This window comes from Homo sapiens, chromosome 13 (assembly GCF_000001405.40).
Source record: "Homo sapiens chromosome 13, GRCh38.p14 Primary Assembly".
In the NCBI taxonomy this organism is placed as follows: domain Eukaryota; kingdom Metazoa; phylum Chordata; class Mammalia; order Primates; family Hominidae; genus Homo; species Homo sapiens.
This window is the reverse complement of record NC_000013.11, coordinates 30,905,978-30,926,389: the sequence shown is the minus strand read 5'-3', so window position 1 is coordinate 30,926,389 and position 20,412 is coordinate 30,905,978. Positions and strand designations below refer to the sequence as shown.

At 45.4% G+C, this 20,412-nt stretch overlaps 1 protein-coding gene and 1 long non-coding RNA gene across 3 annotated transcripts in view, besides 1 other annotated feature; one reads left to right on the top strand and one right to left on the bottom strand.

The window, feature by feature from the left end:
* The window catches only part of TEX26-AS1 (TEX26 antisense RNA 1), a 49,774-nt gene that overhangs the window by 6,219 nt on the left and 23,143 nt on the right, over nt 1–20,412 (top strand). The gene's annotated exons all lie outside the window — the stretch shown is intronic.
* On the bottom strand, nt 818–20,119 carry MEDAG (mesenteric estrogen dependent adipogenesis). Of its 2 annotated transcripts, NM_032849.4 has the most exons (5): nt 19,597–20,119; nt 8,878–8,987; nt 5,264–5,376; nt 4,544–4,829; nt 818–2,079 (listed from the first exon to the last, which is right to left on the bottom strand). In NM_032849.4, the coding sequence occupies exons 1-5, from the start codon at nt 19,872–19,874 to the stop codon at nt 1,955–1,957; spliced, it is 912 nt and encodes a 303-aa protein (NP_116238.3). In that variant the 5' UTR covers nt 19,875–20,119; the 3' UTR covers nt 818–1,954. The 2 variants fall into 2 exon arrangements, with proteins under 2 accessions (NP_116238.3, XP_016876290.1); XM_017020801.2 differs by lacking the exons at nt 8,878–8,987; nt 19,597–20,119 and adding an exon at nt 7,400–8,511.
* Nucleotides 19,017–19,518: an enhancer, noted in NCBI's record as "H3K4me1 hESC enhancer chr13:31481009-31481510 (GRCh37/hg19 assembly coordinates)". NCBI's record gives its function as "activates a minimal SCP1, AML or CMV promoter by ChIP-STARR-seq in naive H9 embryonic stem cells {active_cell/tissue: H9 hESC(naive)}" and the evidence as "EXISTENCE:reporter gene assay evidence [ECO:0000049][PMID:30033119]".

Below are 20,412 nucleotides of genomic sequence, written 5' to 3'. Positions count from 1 at the left end.
GTATCTACCTGGTATGTGCCTATGGCACCTAGTAGGCACTCAAGCATGTGTGTTGAATGAATGAAGACGAAATGAATTAATGAATGAATGACTTGCTTAGGTCATTGTTGTCCTACGATTGTATTGATCTTAAACTGTTAAAATATCAGCATTCGGGCACATTTATACTCAGTGTGAGGCCTCTTTTACCCAGGAAGATCTGTCCCTAGGCTTTTCATCAATTTTAAAGATTGCCCAATATAACTTCTTTGTGATATTTACTAATAAAATACACTAGCACAGTGTATATTTCTTACAGGCAATCAATAAAACTTTGCTGAGTAAATATGGAATGGGTGAATGCGTTTGATTCAGAGTTGACTGAAAAGAAGTTTTAATGGTGAAAGAACCCTTCCAGATCTTTAGTCCATTCCTGGGGTGATACTGATGGTTTTTCTCAATTCCGCTACTTAAAAAAAAAAATCTTCCTTGTCAGTTTTATGAATAGAGTCTCTGTTTCCTTTGGGAAGCATTTCATATTTGATATCCACCTAAGGTTTGTTTGCACTGGTGTAAAACTTAGTTTATTGTTAATACTCTTCATTTTTTATTGAGTGTAATAATAAATGTTTAACATCTTCTGTTATTAAGTAGCATTCCCCTTCTCTTTTCTGAAAGATCAGTATCAAATTTTATTTCCTTTCTTCAAATACTTCATAGCCTTGTTCTTCAAAAGGCGCTTCTTGAGAAAGTGGCTATGAAAACCCACAATTCTTATTGTAATTCAGTAAGTTACAAGGCAAATACAACACCCACAAACCACAATGGAAAGCTCACATGAAGCCTCAGTCATAAATTTAATCAATTCTAGGTTGAATGCTAAGAAAAGTTTTAATTGTGCAAATGTGGTACATAACATTTCAAATATAAGTGGAAGGATCATCAGTAGTGTTATCAAAATGCATAATACAGAAACTTTTTAAGAAAGGATAAAAAATTACACTCAGGACCCATAACTCTTCCTCATTATAAGCATATGTAGTGATTCATTCATGCAGGTTTTTATATGTAGATAGGATTTTTTTTTCCTTTTCAAGAATTCCATTGTAGCCATGAGATGAAAAATGTATTATGGTAATGGTATAGCTTTCTTCTATTTTGCTTTTAGTGTTAGGTTTGCTAAAAGCTTATTTAAAATTCCCAACTGACATAATGTGTTTTCAATAAGGAGGACGCTGCCGTGTCCAATACCCTTCCCCTGTCATTGTTCGGTACCATATCTCCTGGCTTCCTTCTACATGGGTCACTTAGTTAAGAGGGAGGCCAAGGGAGTTCCGATTTCAGGCAGTGTGTGGCAGGGTTACTGTCCTAGCAACCTGGCTACTCCTCACTGTGAACGTTTCTCATAGGTGTCATATGGCAGGATGAAAAACATATTTGCCTCCCAGTGAAAGATGGCACAGGCTTTTGCCCAGCCAGGTTGGCAAGAGAACAGAACTCTTAACCCCTTGCTCGACAGGTTTGAGTTCAAGGGGTTGGATGCTCCAAGCAGAGGGCCAAACCCTGATTTATGAAGCATGCTAGGTCAACAGCCAGTCAGACCACTCCCACAAAGGCTGCCACAAAAACTCCCAGGGAACTGAGAAAAATGTTCAGGGTGGCAGAACTCTGTGGCCCTTCTGCCTCTTTGGAGAAGTGTTCAAAGTAGAGAATATCCCCCAGCCCCACCCAGTGCCATGGGACCAAGGCCTTTCCATCCTGGTAATCATAAGTTTTAGGGGAATCAGCTGCCCTGGGCCTGCCAGGGCATCACATCCACAGAAGCAGAAGAGAGGAGTCCTCCATAGAAGCCATGGAGGAGCCGGAGATTGACACGCAGGTGGAAGTATCTGCCTCCCACCTCCTACCCTCCCCCCAGCCTATAGTCTAGCACAGGCCTGGAGTGCGGGAGCAACTGCTACAATGTTCAGTTCAATCAGATAAATTGGTTGGGTGTCTCTTCAGATTCCAGAACACTTGGAAATGGTAATTCTGCCAAAAGAGGCTCTGTCAGAGATGATCTGGGTGACAGATTGCAGTTAAAAACATCATCTATTGAACCTAAAAAACAGTAAACAAAGCATGCATTATTACCATCACTGAAAGAAAAAAAAACCAACAGTGCCTTTCAAATTCATGCAACCTAACTATTTTAATAATTAATAGAGAATCCTGGCTTCCTCAGAAAAATTCAAAAGGCTAAACAGAAATGTGTTGCTTTTTCTTTATTAGTGGGACAAGATTGTCTCTTGCTTTTTTGCGGGCTGGAGTAAACTTGCAATGAGCTTAATATACTCTTTCACACTTGAGGGCAAAAGGCTTACATTTTGGGAATAGTTACTGAGGACAGAGAACAGTTTTTGCAGGGAATGGGCCCAGGTTAGCACCCTAGTGGCCCCGTGCTCTGCCTGTCGTGGGTGCCAGGTTTGGACCACGTGACAAGCAGGAGGTGCATCTTGGCTGTGCTGTCCTGCAGTGCATGATGACAGCTTCCAGGAAGGACCCTGCCACACTCCTCTGAAGTTGAAGTGGCCCCAGAGCCAGCTTAGAGTAAACTTTCAAGGAAGCACTGCTTAACTTCAAATGTTCCTCAGTGTCCCAAAGATGGGGTGGACACTCTGGGCAGCCCACAGGACAGAGGGTGAGCCATGGTGAAACCGGAAAATCCTGCCCAGGCTGCTGGGGCTGATAGGTGAACTCAGGGGTGTCAGAAAAAGGCCCAGGCACATATGGCACTGCAGCAAAGGGGCCAGTTAATCATCCCCTCCAAAAGGATCAGAGTATAATCCTCCACATGATTGCAACAGAGCAGAGCACAAACACATCTTTGTGAGGAACTCCCAGGCAGAGAAAGCTGAAACAACATGGGAAGAGATGAACAGAAAGACAGAGAGACAGAGAAAGAGAGGGGAAAGAGAGAGAAACAGACAGAGACAGAAATGGAGATGGAAGAGATGGAGACTGAAATGAAGACAGAGATGGAGAAAGAGCAGGAGAGAAAAACACACAGAGAGAAAGAGAAAGAGATGGAGAGAGAGAGGAGGAAGGAGGGAAGGAGGGAGGAAAAGAGAAAGAGACCACTTCTAGGATAAGAAATAGCTAGTAGCAAGCATTTTTGTTGTAAACATTTGAAGAAAGAAACACAGGCTGTGGCCAGGCGTGGTGGCTCACACCTGTAATTCCAGCACTTTGGGAGGCTGAGGCAGTTGGATCACTTGAGGTCAGGAGTTCGAGACCAGCCTGGCCAACAGGGTGAAAACCCGTCTCTACTAAAACCACAAAAATTAGCTGGGTATGGTGGCACACACCTGTAGTCCCAGCTACTTGGGAGGCTGAGACACGAGAATTGTTTATGCCCAGGAGGAGGAGGTTGCAGTGAGCCGAGATGGCACCACTGCACTCCAGCCTGAGTGACAGAGCGAGAGTCCGTCTCAAAAAATGAAAAACACAAAAAACAAAGCAAAAAAACACAGGCTGTAAATACAATTAATGAGGATTCTATATTTTACAGCTGAACTCTGAGAACACCACAACTTCACAGAGACTGCTGGTTTTCTGCAATTAGCAGCAAGAGTCCTGACTCAGGGAAGTTGCTCTCCAGTCCAGACTAGCAAAAGACAGAGAGAATGGGCTCTGCAGAAGACAGATCCAGACAAGCCATGCATGATTCATGCCACCTGCAGCCACACGGGTGTCAATACCAAGAACCTGCCATATGTCATCAAGAGTGTGTTAAGTGAAACCTTCTCAAGAGTTATTCTTTTGTGCTCTGTCCAAATCTGGAGAACCCTTCCAAATACTATAAAGATTGATATCTTGGCCGGGCCCGGTGGCTCACACCTGTAATCCCAGCACTTTGGGAGGCTGAGGCAGGCAGATCACAAGGTCAGGAGTTCCAGACCAGCCTGGCCAACCTGGTGAAACCCCATCTCTACTAAAACTACAAAAATTAGCCAGGCGTGGTGGTGTGCGCCTGGAATTCCAGCTACTCAGGAGGCTGAGGCAGGAGAATCACTTGAACCCGGAAGGCTGAGGTTGCAGTGAGCCAAGATCACACCACTGAACTCCAGCCTGGACAACGAGAGTGAAACTCCGTTTCAAAAAAAAAAAAAAAAAAGACTGATATCTTGACCATATAGTGACTCCTCCCAACTGATCATTTTTGTTCACATTCTGTTGTACAGAATATGAACATTTGGAAGGCAGCAGTCTTCCAATATGATTGCCAATAATATTTAAATGATCATCAATACTCATTTAAATTAATAATAATATTTAAAGTTATTTTGGGGTATACTGCATAATGTAATCCTCATGTCAGAAGACTTAAAGGAGCTCAAAAGGAAAAGTCACTGCATTTGTTTTTGGTAATAAACATGCCCCACTTCTTACTTTCTGAATTTTGTGATCTATTTCCCTTTCATTAATAGGTCTTGCCTTTTGAATCAATTGACTCTCTTCCATTATTTTACTCTACCCTTTTATTTAACTACCTTCCACATATCCTTCGGAATTTTTAACATACCTCTGGAAGTTACACTGAACTTTCGGTCAGAGAAACTGCTCCTTCGGATTAAAGGCTCACTCATTTTTTCCAGAAATAACTTAATCGTCTCCTTCTTTTCTGGACTTGTACTTGACAAATTCAGAACTTTTCCATTTACTTTTACAACGGAATTACTGAGCCCAAACCAATAGAAGAAATCAAATAATGCATCAGCTTTGAATTCATATGCAAAGCTTAAATTTTCTCCATTAACCACTTCATTTCCTGGGGGGAAGAAATTCTTCACTGCCTCTTGAAAATCAAACTGAAAGAGAGAGGAACATTGCATTGACTTAATGGACATAAGTATCCTGTTGACATTGTAGAACTAACAACCGCCTAAATATCCAAAACATCACACCTCTTATTTCCCTTTCACTCTCACACATATTTTTAAACTGTTGTCTTTATTTTTTCTAACAAAACTTTGCATTTGCATCATATTCCATCTAAAAATTCTGAACTGCTTGGCCAAAATTACATTTATTCTTACCCATTTCTAATAGGTTGCTAAGAACTAAACTCATTTTATTGGTAGCAATAATGCCACCTTTGAGAACAAAGTGTCTGAATGCACTTTGTTTTCTAAGGGCCATTCTCTTGGCCTAAGCCAGGGCAATAGGGCCTCAGTTCCTGCATGAAATGCACAAGCTCCTTCCATGTGGTTGACAGCCCTGGATTCAGACAGGCTAGGCTTACCTGAAGCCGGTAACTTTCTCCAATCACTGAGGAGATGACCATGTCCATCCCTTGCTCTATCTGTCTTCTTATCTTGGGGTGCCTCGTGTTTACAAGAAACGCGTACGTCCTTTCTAGAAATTAGCAAGCAGAATTCAGAAACAAGTGTGTCCATGTGACATAAGCATGCTTCTTATAATTTGCTATTGCAGTGGTTCCCACCTCCTTTGAAGATTTTATTCATTTATAACCTTCCTCTCTGCTCCCTCACAACCTTACTACAAAGCCTCGCCAGATTTCTAGAAGTGTTTCTGAGAATTTTGCAGATTTGAAGGAGGTTCTGGGCTGCTGTAAAGGCAGGCTAGATAATCAGCTCCCACAAGGCTGCAGTTTGTAACTGGAGTCTCAGAAATCAAAAATTCCACTCTATAATTATCACAGATGAGAACTGTGCCTCCACAGCATGTATCCATTATGGGGAAGGAAAGTGGAAGATCGAGATAGCTGGTTTTCATGTTCCTGCAGTGCTGGATTTTTTCTTCTTCTTTTTTTTTTTTATTTTTTTAAGACAGTTTCTGTCACCCAGGCTGGAGTACAGTGGTGTAATCAAAGCTCACTGCAGCCTCAACCTCCTGGGCTCAAGTGATCCTCCTGCCTCAGCCTTCAAAGTTGCTGGGACCACAGGCATTCGCCACCATGCCTGGCTAATTTTTGTATTTTTTTTTGCAGAGACAGGGTTTCATTATGTTGCCCAGGGTGGTCTTGAACTCCTGAACTTGCGCAATCTGCCAGCCACGGCCTCCCAAAGTGCTGGGATTATAGGCATAAGCCACCATGACTTGCTGGGTATTCAAATCACAACTTGGCTCTTACAGAAACTTTCTTATTTGCAAAAGAAAATCTGCAAAGATCAGGAAACAGGGCTGCTCCATGCTTTCCACCTCCACCCCTACCCCTACCCCATGCCCAGCTCTCCCCAGCTTCTCCAGGGACCAGACATTCTGACAAATGGCTAGTCTAGGGTTCTATGGACCAAGGCAACCAGAGGTTGATTCTTCTCCCTGCTGCTACCTCTAACACAATCCCAAGTGGGAAAACATCTCCTTCTCATTGTTTAAATAATACCACGTGTCTGTCCTGGCAGACAGATTTTTTTGGTGTTGATTGATTAGTTTGGTTTGGTAACCCCTCATGTTCAATTCTGCATGATTTAAGCCAAAAGAAGGTTGTTTACTCATTAGGAAATATAAAATGGTATTAACCAGCAACCTCTTAACTTTTCCAGTCCCCCGCATCAAGCTCCATGGCCTTAATTACTCAGTCCTTGGTCTAAGGAGACACATAGATACCTGTGTTCTCCTCCATTTAACAGCCAGGGACCAGCCACTGTGTGATTTTTAGAACTCAGTGTTTTACACTGACTTTGAGATATCTCAGAGACAAACCTTCGGTCCACCAACAGCAAGTGTTTACGTCCTCGAGGAAGGCATTTTAAACTAACCTTATTCATCTCGTTTTTCTTACCCATGTTTTTCTTTCTCCAAAATTATTTTTTGGGCACTTTAGATATAAGCTGCCTTATATCCTCTTTAAGACAATAGATAAACAAAGCAAGCAAACTCCTTGATACCTTCAATTAAATCTCATGTAAACCAAACCAACACCTCTGGGGTCATTATATACTCATGGCCACAACACTCCACAGTTGTGCTGATGGGGCAGGTTGTACACTGCCTAACTCTAGAGGCTGTCATTCACATTTACAGACATTATTTTTATATTATGACAAACTTGTGGGAAGCATTAGTAATCGTCTTGAGGAAATGGTGGCTTTTTCTGATTTGCACAAAAGTGCAGTTTAGAATAACAGCAAGACTAGACATATTGCCTTAATCATAATTTTGCAATTTAAAATTGACCATCTTAAGCTTTGTGTCATAGAGCCTCTTCATTTTATGGCTTTTATCACAATTAACTAGTACTGGGTTTCTGGATTTCTGTTGTGGCAATTCATCACATTATAGCATGACTCAGACACGTGCCTCCTTCCATGATAGTTGTTCGACAACTTCATACATTCTATAGGCTACCTACAAATTCCTCCTTGTACCACTACCTATACTTTCATTTAAATGTTAAAATGAAGAGGGCTCTTACTCTTTTTTTAGATTCCTCCTGAGTGATCGGTGCAGGAGGTGTACTTGATACAGCTGTGAATTACATTCCTAAAGAACTATCTGGCTTTCTGGTTATAATCAAGCCAAAGAACACGTGGGCTTCAGATGTTCTAATGAGCACTTCTTGTTACTGGGCATTCTGTTCCTGGCCTCTCCTGCAGAAAGAACATCATGACTTTTTATTGTCAAATGAGCAGAGAGAGCTCCACAAATTTGAATGAGAGTGAATGTTTGGGGAAATCTATTTGAAATTCGTAGATCATTTCTTATTTCCTTGGACTCATTTTAAGAATGTTAGTTAGAAGCAAGTTTAAGAAATTCTACTTCTATTACAGAACGTTATGCCCATGACTTCCCCCACATATCATTCTGAGCAGGAGGAGGAAGGCAAAATGGAGACATTTTCATACTGAAATTTGGTTTAATATAGTTGCTACCAGCTAATCTGATTTCTTGGAAGAAACAATGAAGAGATGTGTCTAAACATGACATTCCAACATCATGGCATGAAACAGAAAAGCATCCACAATGGCTATTTATTTTCTTAGTTTCCTCATCTATAAAATGGGAATAGTGTAAGCACCTCCTAAGTGGGATAATTACGCATCCTAGTTTGCCCGGGTCAGTTTATACCTTCTTCCCAGAATAATTATTGATAGTAATGATGTTCATGTTCATAACGTCCTGAATTGATAAGCCCTACAAAGTTGTTGTGGTGATCCATTACATTAGAGCACTTCTTAGACATAGTAGGTGTTTGATACGTGGTAGAGCATGTTATATATCATCCTCATCACTCTAGTCATTTCTGCAACCTCCAAAGGCTCAGAATGTCAGATCACTTCCCACCTAGGCAAGAAGTAGAAAAGAAGCTCCCAGACAGGTGGCTTCTGCCCTAGGATCATTGAGGGGTTTGTTCTGCAGGCATGTGCTGTGTTTCAGGTGGCCTCACCCACCAGGCTCCTTGCTGTCTACCTTGTCACAAGCTGATTTCTGCCCTGCTCATCAGTCCACACCTCAGCCCAGTTTGGTCCCAGCAAGGACCAAACCAAAACTATTTATATACTGATATGGTTTGGATTTGTGTCCCTGCCCAAATCTCATGTCAAACTGTAATTCCCAATGTTGGAGGAGGGGCCTGGTGAGAGATGACTGGATCATGGGAGTGAATTTTCCCCTTGCTGTTCTCATGATAGTGGGTGAGTTCTTGCTAGATCTGGTTGTTTAAGAGTGTGTAGCACCGCCCCGCTTCCGCTCTCTTCCCCCTGCTCCATGTAAGACGTGCCTGCTTTCCCTTCGCCTTCCACCATGATTGTAAGTTTCCTGAGGCCTCCCCAGAAGCAGAAGCCTGTATAGCCTGCAGAACCGTGAGCCAATTAAACCTCTTTTCTTTATAAATTACCCAGTTTTAGGTATTTCTTTATAGCAGTGTGAAAATGGACTAATATAGATACTTACCTTTTGAGGTGTCTTTTTTGGTCTGTACATTAATAAAGAACAACATTGGTTTGCTCAATATAGTTTCCCTGTAGTCTTTATAATCACAGTAGTTGGTCAGTTCCACATACCTATGAAGAAGCAGAGATCATTGCAAATGTAACGTACCCTTTCATCTAAATTAGGAAGGGGATGTACTGGACAGGTATCTGCCACAGCCACAGACCTTGGAGGGAAGTTCCTTGAAATGCATCCTTACAGAGGTCACCATATAAACGAATCTTTCTGGTCATGGCTGATTGGCTCAAGGATCAGCGTGCAGCCCACAGGCAGCCATGGCCCTAGGGGTGTCCTGGCATCAACACTTGGCTCTCAGACTTTACCAGATGATCACCAGTATCATCTGTCGTTTGGGCTAAAAGCGTTCATTTGAAGCTATAAGAGCTCTAAGTCCCTCTGAATTGATAATGAATTCGACATAATAGTAGAATTAGCTGAATTTTCTCCAGTGGAGTCATCCTGTTTAACTTGTGGGTCTTGAATTTTCCTTTCCTTCTCCCCACTTCCCCACTAATCCCAAGATAAACCAGCCCCCTCCATAGATTACAGAATCAACCAATATTCATATGAACTATTACTAGTTCACATCTCTCCTACGCTGAACTTGTGTAATTAAAAAACGAAAACAACTGATGTTGGACTTTTCACTACATCCTTGTTAAATTTAGCCTTTTTGGTTTTCATTATTCTCATTTAGGAAGATCTTTCTGAATCCTGACTCTGTCATCCAGCATGTTAGCTTTCTTCCCTGCCCTTCACATCTTCCAAGCAGCCTAGCTACATCCCTGTCAGCATTGTTCATAAAAAGGTCCAAGTGCAGATTAGCTTCCTTCAAGAAGTTAGTTAATTTTCTAACTAAACCCAAGCTCAGATGCCATGTGGATGTAGGTAGGCTGAATGGCCCCCAGCAGGCTGAAGGATGCGTCTGCCGCAGTCTCTCTGAAACACAGAGCTGGTTCCCCATTGACACAGCTGCGAGCATCTGCACGGAGCGAATGGCTGGCTGAGCTGAGCGCGCGGGCTGCCTTTTGCTACACCACAGCATGTTTGTTTCTTATATCTAGTCATCAGCAGAGACAGCTCCAAGCAATTCTTTCTGGCTGATTGTCCTTCCAGTGCCTGACATGAAAATCACAGCCTTGGCGAGAAAACAGCCGCTGCAGGGAGTGGTGCCCACAGTACTCTAGGCATCCCTCACCTGCGTCCACTTCCCACCATCCCTCGGAGGGGCCAGCACACAAGACAGTGACCGGGGCATGTGTCAAGAGCATGCGAGAGAATATCTACCCTGAGGCAGGAAAACACGGCTTCCGCTCGGCTGTCTCCCAGCTTGGTTTCTTAGAAATCTATGTCATTATCTTTCTGCTGGGATTGTCAGACCTGATTTTGAGAGCATTTAAAACCTGACCCCTGATGGAGCCTCTAAAATGCTTCCTGTCTTCTATTTCACCAAGCTTTTAAAGCAGTCTCCACCTCCCACCACATCTGTAGTGGTGGCTGCTTGGGAGCTGTTCCTGGGGTAGGGAGGGGAACATGGGGCTGCAGTGTTCCAGAGAAGAAAAAGGTGGGTGTGGATGTTGATGCTCACGGAGTGGGTGAGGATGGCAGGAGTAGAGGAGAGGACGATGGGAATGGAGGAGGGGCGCTGGGGTGGGGCGCTGGGGTGTTACAAGGGAATGGATGGCCAGGTAAGAGAATGCAGACCCACACATGGCTTTGGTATGGGTCTTCCTTCACCCCTCCCCTGCCCTCATCCTCACCTGGGCAGAACAGGAGAAAGGGGGTGAGATGGGGGAACCTCAGGAGACTGAGGGGAGTGGTGCTGGTGTTGCACATCAGCTGGGAGAGAATTTTCCTGCCCTTTTTTTTATCCCAGTTGACCAACTGCCAAAAGTTACTAGAGAAAGAAAGCAAAGGAGAAGGCAGGAAAAAGAAAACCACCATTTGCTGGGCTCATTCATTCATTCACTGAGTAACTTCATTGAGTCCTGCTGATGAGCCGGGCACCAGGTGAGCATTTACATGTGTCTCATTGCCTTCTTGTGCTGGAGGGGCTCAGAGTCTAGAAAGGGGACAGTGGACGGAGGCAGTGCAGGGCGCCCCTGTGCTCGCCCGTCCCTCTTGCCATCCATCTATTCAGCGGCCAAACACCCAGCACAAATATCATAGATATTTCAGAATTACTATGCAAATATTGCTTCTACATATTGAATATTTATCATAGTTGCTGAAATCATCATTAGGCAGGCAGGTAAGAGTGGCTTGGGAAGGGGGTGAAGAGAAGGTGAAGTATGTTGTTACGTGGGGGGTGAGGATACAGAGGGAGAAAAGAGAAAGAAAACCCCTGTAGCAAAAGAGGAAGGAAAGGGCAAGTCTGGTTGACATAAACATAACAAAATAGATGGGTGATGCGGGAGGAGTTGGGGAGCAGGCTCCACCTATGACCCATTCGAGGCAGGTTTCCCATTATCCTACCATCCTGTTTACATGGAGTTCAGTCATGGTCATTTCAGCTCCTTTACTACATTCCTCGGGGAGATTCCTCTATTCTTTCAATATCTGGAGTCTGATTGTCATTCTTAATGGAAAGCGCATGGCATTTGTGTACAATGCACCCAGAAATCTGCAGTTTTGATGCCTTTTCTGATGACACAAATGCTAGTGCAGTATGTCCCTCTGCGTACAAAATTGATTGACATCCAATGGGTCAGTGATCCCACAGATAAAAATCTCAACTTACAAATGATCTCTGGTTCAGAGAACAATCAGTTTTCCCTGGAATTTGGTGGAAGGCTTTTTTCAATGCTACTGGGCTCAAAGAGCAGGTATTTGGCATGGTCACAGAAGGAAGCCTGCTGGATAGCCACATGTTGAGTGTAATGTATGACCTACACATGAGCTATCCATTTTCAAGCCTGAATTTCATAAAACACCTTGGATAATAAAACTACATGCAACATAATTTAATCTGCCTTTGATGATTCAGGGGTACTTGAATTTCAGCTCCTTAACCAGGCTGTAAACCTCATCACAGTGCATGCCAGTTATCACTGTAGCACAGATGTGTAAAAACACTGCTTATAGAAGACCTCTGATGCCAGAACTTACAGACAAGAGATTGTGCCAAGATCCCTACTTAATAAGCTCCCTAACTCTAACCAGGCCACAGATAAGAAATACCTCATTAATTCCTCCATCCCCAGCCTCCCAGTTATGGTCCAATTGTTAAGCACCTTGAAATTCCATTGAAATAAATAAATGTGAGCATTCACTAAAACACGATAAGATCGGAGAATTTAGTTGTTAAGGTGCACAGATATTTAAGTTTCTGACATGTAATCACTGGTTTTAGTTTAAGACTATCCTTACTAGATTATATTAGGGACTAGTTATTTGATCTTCTTTGTTTGTGTGTTCGTTTGTTTGTTTTTTGAGATGGAGTCTCACTCTTTCACCCAGGCTGTAGTGCACTGGCACAGTCTTGGCTCACTGCAACCTCCGTCTCCCATGTTCAAGCAATTCTACTGCCTCAGCTTCCCAAGTAGCTGGGATTACAGGCGTGCACCACCATGCCCAGCTAATTTTTGTATTTTTAGTAGAGACAAGGGTTTCACCACATTGGCCAGGCTGGTCTCGAACTCCTGACCTCAAATGATCTGCCTGCCTCAGCCTCCCAAAGTGCTGGGATTACAGGTGTGAGCCATCACACCCGGCCTTTAATCATAGATATTTCAGAATTACTAATGCAAATATTGCTTCTACATATTGAATATTTATCATAGTTGCTGAAATTATTATCATTAGGAATGAAAAGCAAACACTTTAAGATAGACAGTTTCTTTAAAATCTCATTTCTTCATTGCTTTACCCTGGCCCCAAAATGCTTCTGGGGTGAAAGTTTCTAAGCTTGGCTTCAATCCAAAGATTAAAAGGCAGGGCAAAGCCGGGCGTGGTGGCTCACATCTGTAATCCCAGCACTTTGGGAGGTCAAGACAGGAGGACTGCTTGAGGCAAGGAGTTGTAGACCAGCCTGGGCAACACAGTTCCAGACCAGCCTAGGAAAACCTTGCCTCTACAACAAATTTTTAAAATTAGCCAGGTGTGGTGGTGCATGCCTATACTCCTAGCAACTCAGGAGGCTGAGGTGGGAGGATTGCTGGAGTCCAGGAATTCCAGGCTGCAGTGAGTTATGACTGCACCACTGCACTCCAGCCTGGGTGACAGAGCAAGACCCTATCTCAACAAACAAACAAACAACCCAAAGCAACCAGCCAAACAAAAAACCCCAGCAGGACAATGTAATGGGAAACACAGTATTTCAAAATAAGATCTAATTCAAGTCCTGATTTGCTGGCTATGTGAACTCAATTCCAGAGCCACAACTCACTATGACCTTGAGGGACTTCTTTAACCTGTCTGCACCTGTTCACTCATCTGTGGAAAGGGCATAACAGTATTTTTTCCCTCATGATGAGTAAATGCAGTACATGCAATGTAGACATACGAATTTGAACCCATAGTAGATGCTTGATAAACATCATGAGTATCTCTAATCCTGGCCAACTTGGCAAACCCATAGGACGAAGCTCTGTAAACTTCTGACTCCCAACCAGGGCTGTGTTCATTTGAGTTCCCAGGAAATAAGGAAAATATCAGCATCTGATAAATGAGCAAGAGTTGCTCCTTCCTTGTTCCAATTTCTTTCCTCATTTTTTCAGTTTAGGAGGCTAAAGGGAACAGCTTAATGACAGCAACATCTGAAAAGGAGGACCAAAAAAGAGCATTGTGTTTTGCTTCTAGCAAATCAGGAGCCACTGAAAGATGGCCCACCTCTAAGACACCCAACTTTCAAAGCTGCCCCAAATTTCCCTTGGCTCTAACAATTTCTGCTCAATGACAAATAGGAATTCAAATCCTTCATGGCCTCCATCAAAGGGTGGGGTGTGTGTGTGTGTGTGTGTGTGTGTTCATTAAAAAAAATATGGACAGTTGAGCAGAGAAAAAGAAGAACACACAGTGCAATAGTCTGTGTAGGAGGCCCAGGAACTGCTTGCCACCATCATAATTCTTTGCTGTGACACTAAGCAAAAGCTTGCAGAGCCATTTTACTCTTGGGGGAAGCAGGCTGCCCCTGCCATGACTTTCCAGTGTTAGCTTGATCGCCTTACACAGAGTCTCGCCCTAATCTCTTTTCCCTTCTTCCCTCCGCCTTCTGCCCTAGTTCTACTGAAATAAAGCAAAATTTTTAGACTTCTCACTCTAATGTGTGTGGCTCACACAGACATTATTCAAGGGTACACATATTCATGCATTCATTCCTTAAGGAATTATTGACACTTAGTGTGTGTAAAACTCTGATGGGGCAGAGAATGATTCATTCATTTATGCATGGAAGGAACGATTACTGAGTACCTACTGTGTGCTGGGCACTGGGGACACAGAGATGAGAAAGGAAACAGCCTTGCTTTTAAGAAGCATATAGTCTCCTAGGGAGACAGATGAGAAAATACACCATTTTGGTATGAAATGATGAATGTATAACCTTCTTGCTCAAAGTGTGATCCTTGGACTAACAGCACTGGAATCACCTGGCATGATGAAAAATCCAGGGCTCCCCCCATAATAAATCAGAATCTGTGTTTTAACAAGGTCTCCAGGAGACTTGCATGCTTATTTAAAGTTTGAGAAGCACTGGTCTAAGACATGGTCCCTGCTATTCATAGGCTTGCAAACTGGTAAATCATTCAAACATACTAATGCCAGAGAAATGCATAGTTCTCTGTATTCACGTGTCCAGGCTCCACTGGGTTCTCCCCTAGTCAGTTAAGCCAAGGGGAGCAAGTCAGGAGGGGCCTGGGGTTATAGCCACGTACTGGGGTAAGATGGGTAGTAGGAGAGATATTGTCCTGTCAAGCCAAACAGCCCACAAGGATTGGACAAGAGCAGGGGCAGGGAGCACCCCAGGAAGAGTCACAGCCTAGCCCATCCATGAGGACTATGGGGTGGCTGCACGCAGGCAGGCAGGCAGGTAGGTGGCAAGGACCAGGGGGGCTGAGAGTAGAAAGGAGACCCAAGTGTGGCTGCAAGTCCAGAGCCTGGCTCTGAAGAAGGCAAGCAGGAAAGATGGTCAGGTGGCACATTGCTGTAGACTCATCAGATCTGAGTGTGATTTCTGTCTCTGTGACCTCAGCTAGTGTTTTAACCTTGCAGACATTCATTTTCCTCACCTGTAGAATCTGGCTAAAAAAAGGCACCCCATGAGTGGCTAAGAGATTCAATAATGTGTGTAAAGCTCTTGGCTTCTGGTGCTGCTTAATGGTATTATTACTATTCCCACTTTATAGTTGAGGAAATGGAGTCCCATGGACAATAAGTAAATTTCCCAAGGTCATTCAGCTCGCAAAGAGCAGAGCCCTTCCTCTAGACTGACTCTCCTAAAAATCTCACAGCTCAATGCATGGATGGTTATTATTTCACCAACATCACTGTGTGTCCTGCTAAGGGGCTGCTGTCCTAAGCAGGTTGCTACATCTAAGACCACATCTTCCAACCTCCCAGCCTCAAGTTGGAATCTCTTCTGAGAACTGGGCCTGGGCCAGCAGACAGAGCCCAGCACTTCCCACTGCAGGATGGAGGTGAGGCTTCCCCCAGTAAACTTCCAAGTGTGTTCCAGCCCTACTGTCCTCATTTTACCCCTATGAGTGCCGCTTCACCTCACCTGCATTCTCCGCCCTGAGTAGGTGTGACTGTCACCCATCCAGGAGCAGGTCACAGCTCTGCTTTTAGTGGCTTCCTTAAAATCACTGCACTTACTTACTTTTGTAGGCTGATTGTACAAAATGTGCACTAGCTGACATAATTCCAGTTATTTATTTGTAGATTCAGGAAATGAGTGAGAAAGCAAGATTATTTCAGGTTCAAAGTAATTTGCTGAAAGCATAGGTTCTCCTGGTTCTCCCACTTAGCAGCATCTTACCTAGGTAAATTACTTAAGCTCTGAGTCCTAATGCTTACATCTGTAAAAAGGAGAAACAACAGTAATGCAAACTTTGTAAACTTTTATGAGATAGTAGCTGTGAAATACTTTACACCATTCGAGTAAATGTTAGTAGCCACCATTTCTATTGTATTTATTTTTATTCTCCAGGCAGCCTCTTTCATGCTAGGGGAGCACCAAAAAGAAGGGACTCCAGGTCTTCTTTGCCAAACGTTTGCCATTATATTTCACCAAGAGGCTGCTTTATAGGAAAAAACATGTGTGTGTGTGTGTGTGTGTGTGTTTGTGTGTGTGTCGTAGTTAATGGTAATTTTGACTTTTAAGTATTGAATGAATGGCTCCCTGAATGACCATTACCCACATCTCGTGTCCTGAGCACATTGTGTTTACAACATGGGCGAAAATCCTGATCTTGAAAGAAAATAATAAAAATAAAGATCTTGCCATAAATCCTACAAAATAGGACAAATATTTTTAAAGTAGGTTTTTGAAGGAGCTTTAGAGCTGGTGGTCATCACTAAACCTTCCCACTATGCTGGATTTCTTTAGGTTACTTAGTAGGTATGTACTTAGAAAAAATGTTAAAGTATTAGAAAATGAACCTAAGTAGGGCTGCTAAAATCATCCTGTTGCTCTCTTAGCGAGTGAATAACCTGAAAGTCAAGGTCGGTGGCTCTTAGCCTTTCGGGGTTCCTTGGAAAAGGGCCTCATGAAAGCCACAGTACATACTTATGAGGTCCCAGAAAGAAATTCTAATTACACCAGGGGCTTATCCCATATGCCAAAAATATTTGTTGAGTTAAAAAGAACTAATTAATTAATAGAGCAAGGATTCTTAACCTGGGTCCAAGTATCTCATGAACATCCTGGATGGTCAGCAAAAATTGGGTATATATTTACATTTCTGGGGAATCTACGTAGAATTCTCAAAAGTTCTATGGTCCAAAATGATTAAGAACCATTTTGCCTTTTGGGATCCCTGGCCATCTTGGTGGCTGCTTTTGGTTAGAGGCCATCCCACATCCAAGGCCAGAATATGGTGGCCGCAAAGAAGACGAAAAGTCACTGGAGTCCATCCACTCTAGGCTCCAACCCATTAAGGGTCAAAAATACAAGCTGGGGCAATCCGGCTCTGAAGATGATAGACAAGGCAAAGTGAAACCGGTCATCCCCACCAACTGCCTGGCCTCGAGGAAATCTGAAATACAGAACTAAGGTGCATACTCTCAAAACTGCCATCTACCACTCCAGCAGTAATAACATTAAATTGGGCACAGCATGTGGAAAATACCATAGCAAGTGCACCCTGGTGTCACTGATCCAGGGAATGCTGAGATTTTTTTTTTTTTTTTTTTTTTTTGAGACAGGGTCTCACTGTGTTGCCTAGGCTGGAGTGCAGTGGCACCATCTCGGCTCACTGCAAGCTCCACCTCCAAGATTCAAGCCATCCACCTCCCACCTCGGCCTCCTGAGCAGCTGGGACCACAGGTGCATGTCACTATGCCCAGCTAATTTTTGTAGACAGGAGGTCTCACTATGTTGCCCAAGCTGGCCTCGAAGTCCTGGACTCAAGCAATCCGCCCACCTCAGCCTCCCAAAGTGCTGGGATTACAGGCATGAGGCACTGCACCCAGCCCTGAGATCTTTGGAAGCATGCCAGAACAGACTGGTGAAAATAAATCATGCAAATCTTTAATAAAACTGGCCAGAGCTTATTTTTCAAAAAGAAGGAAGGAAGGAAGGGAGGGAGGGAGGGAGAGAGGGAAGGAAGTGGGGAGGGAGGGAGGGGAGGGAGGGAGGTTTTATGCTATCTCTAAAGCCAAAAACAACTGGCAAATTTGGCAGCTCAGAGGAACGAAGCTTTAGATATCTGAGTTCTGGCTTCGGCATACCTCCCACCTCCTGATTCCCGAGGGCAGAACCTCTCACTGCTGCCCACAGTCCAGTCCTCCCCCTCTGCCTGGAAGGCTGTCTCCATTTAGACCACATTCCCTCCTGGCCATCCTTCAGGACTGCACACTCAGTTATAAAAGCCTCCTTCCCTGCCTGAGGACAATAGATAGCTCCTTCCATCACCCAAATTATTTTCAGAGGCTCCTTGCTATTTCCCAGGTACAAAAGAAGCCCTCACAGTATTGCTTATACAATGATAGCCTATTATTTGTTGTTTTGTATTTGCACCCTGGTCTGTGTTACCTGGTCACTGTGGCCCAGTTGTTTATTCTAGATTCAAAGCTGTCAGGGGAATCACTGTTGTTTAATTTTCTTTTGTGTAGGAGGTGTTCAAAGCAAAAGTTAGATGACAGACTTCAAAATCATTTCAGATTCTGCAGCACTGTTTGCTACAATTAGGAGAACTGGTTCTGTCAAAACCCTAACTTACGGCTTCGTTCATTCTGGACATTTTTATTTTTCATACCCTGCTCTCAAATACAATGGGTATCTTCTTTTTAAATCTGCACACATCTGACTCAGTTCCTCCCACAGTCCTCCGCTTATGGTTTGGAATTGGAATTTTCATTTCACTAAGAAAGGGAGAAATTCTTGCTGGGGAATGGTTCTTCAGGCATTCAGAGCCCTCACTATCTTTGGAAAAGCAAGGTTTTTTCTCCAAGAGTTTTGAAGACTGCACGTTCAATATCTCATTTTGTTTGCTTCCCTCTCTTGGCTCCCTCCTACCCACAGGGTGCCACAGCACGCTGTCTTTCCCAGTAGCAAAGGCGCTGTGTCTCAAAAGCTGGCTATCTTATTCATTTCTGAGTCAAACTCTAGACCATGCTTGCCTCTTCAGGCACTTGGCTCTCTCAGCACAAATATAACAGGTCTTTGCACTCCAGGCCCTTGCCAAGAGTGAACTCTGGAGGCCTGAGGCCATGTGGAATCAGGCCTGAAGTGCCCTCCTTTACCCTGTGGCACCAAAGCCTGCTTCAGATGGCTGGGCCACATCCTGCCGGTCTGCCAAGAAGAGCTTGGGGGCACTCTGGCCACAACAGTCAAGCATCCTGGGGGCCTCCTTCCCATTAAGGCCCTCAGGTTTCGCACTTATTTCCCCAGAACTTATCTGTGCCTTCCACAGCCCACATGGCCCCGGGCTGGACTTCCAGGGGCTTTGTTCCCTTCTCAGCTGCGGTTTATTTGTTTACTTTTGAAACACGAAGTGAGGCCAGAGATGGGAAACTTTGAGCTTTTGCATGCTTCTCCACTCGGTCTCCTCACTGGAGAGGGCTGGCAGTGCTCAGAATGGTGCATGCCCCCTGCTCCTCACCGCCACCCATGCTCCAAAGCCAGGATGTGAGTCTTGCAGAGCTGCAGACAGCCCCTAAAGGGTGTGCTCCCAATTTGAGCTCATCTGACCCAGTTAAGGAGCCAGAATGGGAGAAGCATCTGCCACTCATGAGCTCTGGCTGGGGGGCCCCTGCCCTCCCCCTCGCCCCCAGTCCTGATGCCCTTCTGGGCGGCTTCAAGCAGCAGCTGCAAAATGTCAGTGCAAGAGGCAGAAGAACCAGGGCGAGCGTGCAGGCTCCGGGTGATAGAAGCAGAAGGAAAGTCTAGAAGCGCACGGAGCAAGGGGCCACGCGGTGTCGCAGGCAGCGAGGACAGCCCAGGCTCCCAGAGACCGCAGCCGGGTGGAGGCGTCTGCGGGTACCAGGCGACGGGCCAGGGCGCACGGCGAGGCCACCCACCTCTTGATGTAGCTGCTGAGGCGGTAGAGCTGCCCGTCGAGGCGCACGAGGCCGTCACCGAAGACGTTGAAGCCCCCCCGCGCCGCCGCCGGCTCCCCGGGCCTGGCCACCACGAGCTGGTCGCCGCTCAGCTGGAAGGCACCGGGCTGCAGGCGCAGCAGCTGAGCCAGCGGCAGCAGGGCCAGCTCGCAGTCGCAGGTCCACAGGCTGCGAAGCTCCCCAGACGAGATGGAGGTCAGGCTCGGCCTGGCCACCGGCTCGCAGGCCGCCCCCGCCATGCCCGCGTCGTCGGTCCTCACACCGCCTGCTTCCGTCCGGTGCCTACAGCCCCCAGCCGGCACCTGATGGTCCCCAGGAGGGGCCGGGCGCCCTGCCTGCGTCAGCCGCGCGCGAGGTGAGGAGGGGGTCGGTCTGCCCGCCTGGCCGGGACGCGGTGGCCGCTCAGGTGCCAGTCTGACCGCCCGGGCGGCCCCTCCCAAGCTGCCACTCGCTGGGAGCCCTGCAGGCACCGCGCGGAGAAAGCGGCCCCGGCGCAGCGCGGCCCCTTTTATCCGCCCTCTGGACGCCCGCCTCGCCCCTGCCGGCCCACGGCCACGACCCCAGAGGCTCGGGGCAGAGTTATCATCGTCTCATAACTTGGCATGCTCGAGTCTGCTCGCAGGCAAGGCTTAGTCATCCCCCTGGGGTCCACTACTCAACACCAGCGCTGGCCCCCGCCCTGCCTGGCGGACACTGCCGGAGGCTGGAGGTGGGGAGAGTCCTCCCCGGGTTCCCAGGCCCTGCCTATGGTGGGCGGCAGGGCGCACAGCACCCATC

Bases quoted from the DNA above. Each gene is read 5' to 3' on its own strand.
- MEDAG (NM_032849.4), bottom strand. From the start codon at position 19,874: ATGGCGGGGGCGGCCTGCGAGCCGGTGGCCAGGCCGAGCCTGACCTCC. The intron at 4,830-5,263 runs GTAAGCCTAGCC...TCTCTCTTTCAG, and splicing joins GAGAAAGTTACCGGCTTCAG to TTTGATTTTCAAGAGGCAGT. The intron at 2,080-4,543 runs GTATGTTAAAAA...ACTGTTTTTTAG, and splicing joins GTTCAGTGTAACTTCCAGAG to GTTCAATAGATGATGTTTTT.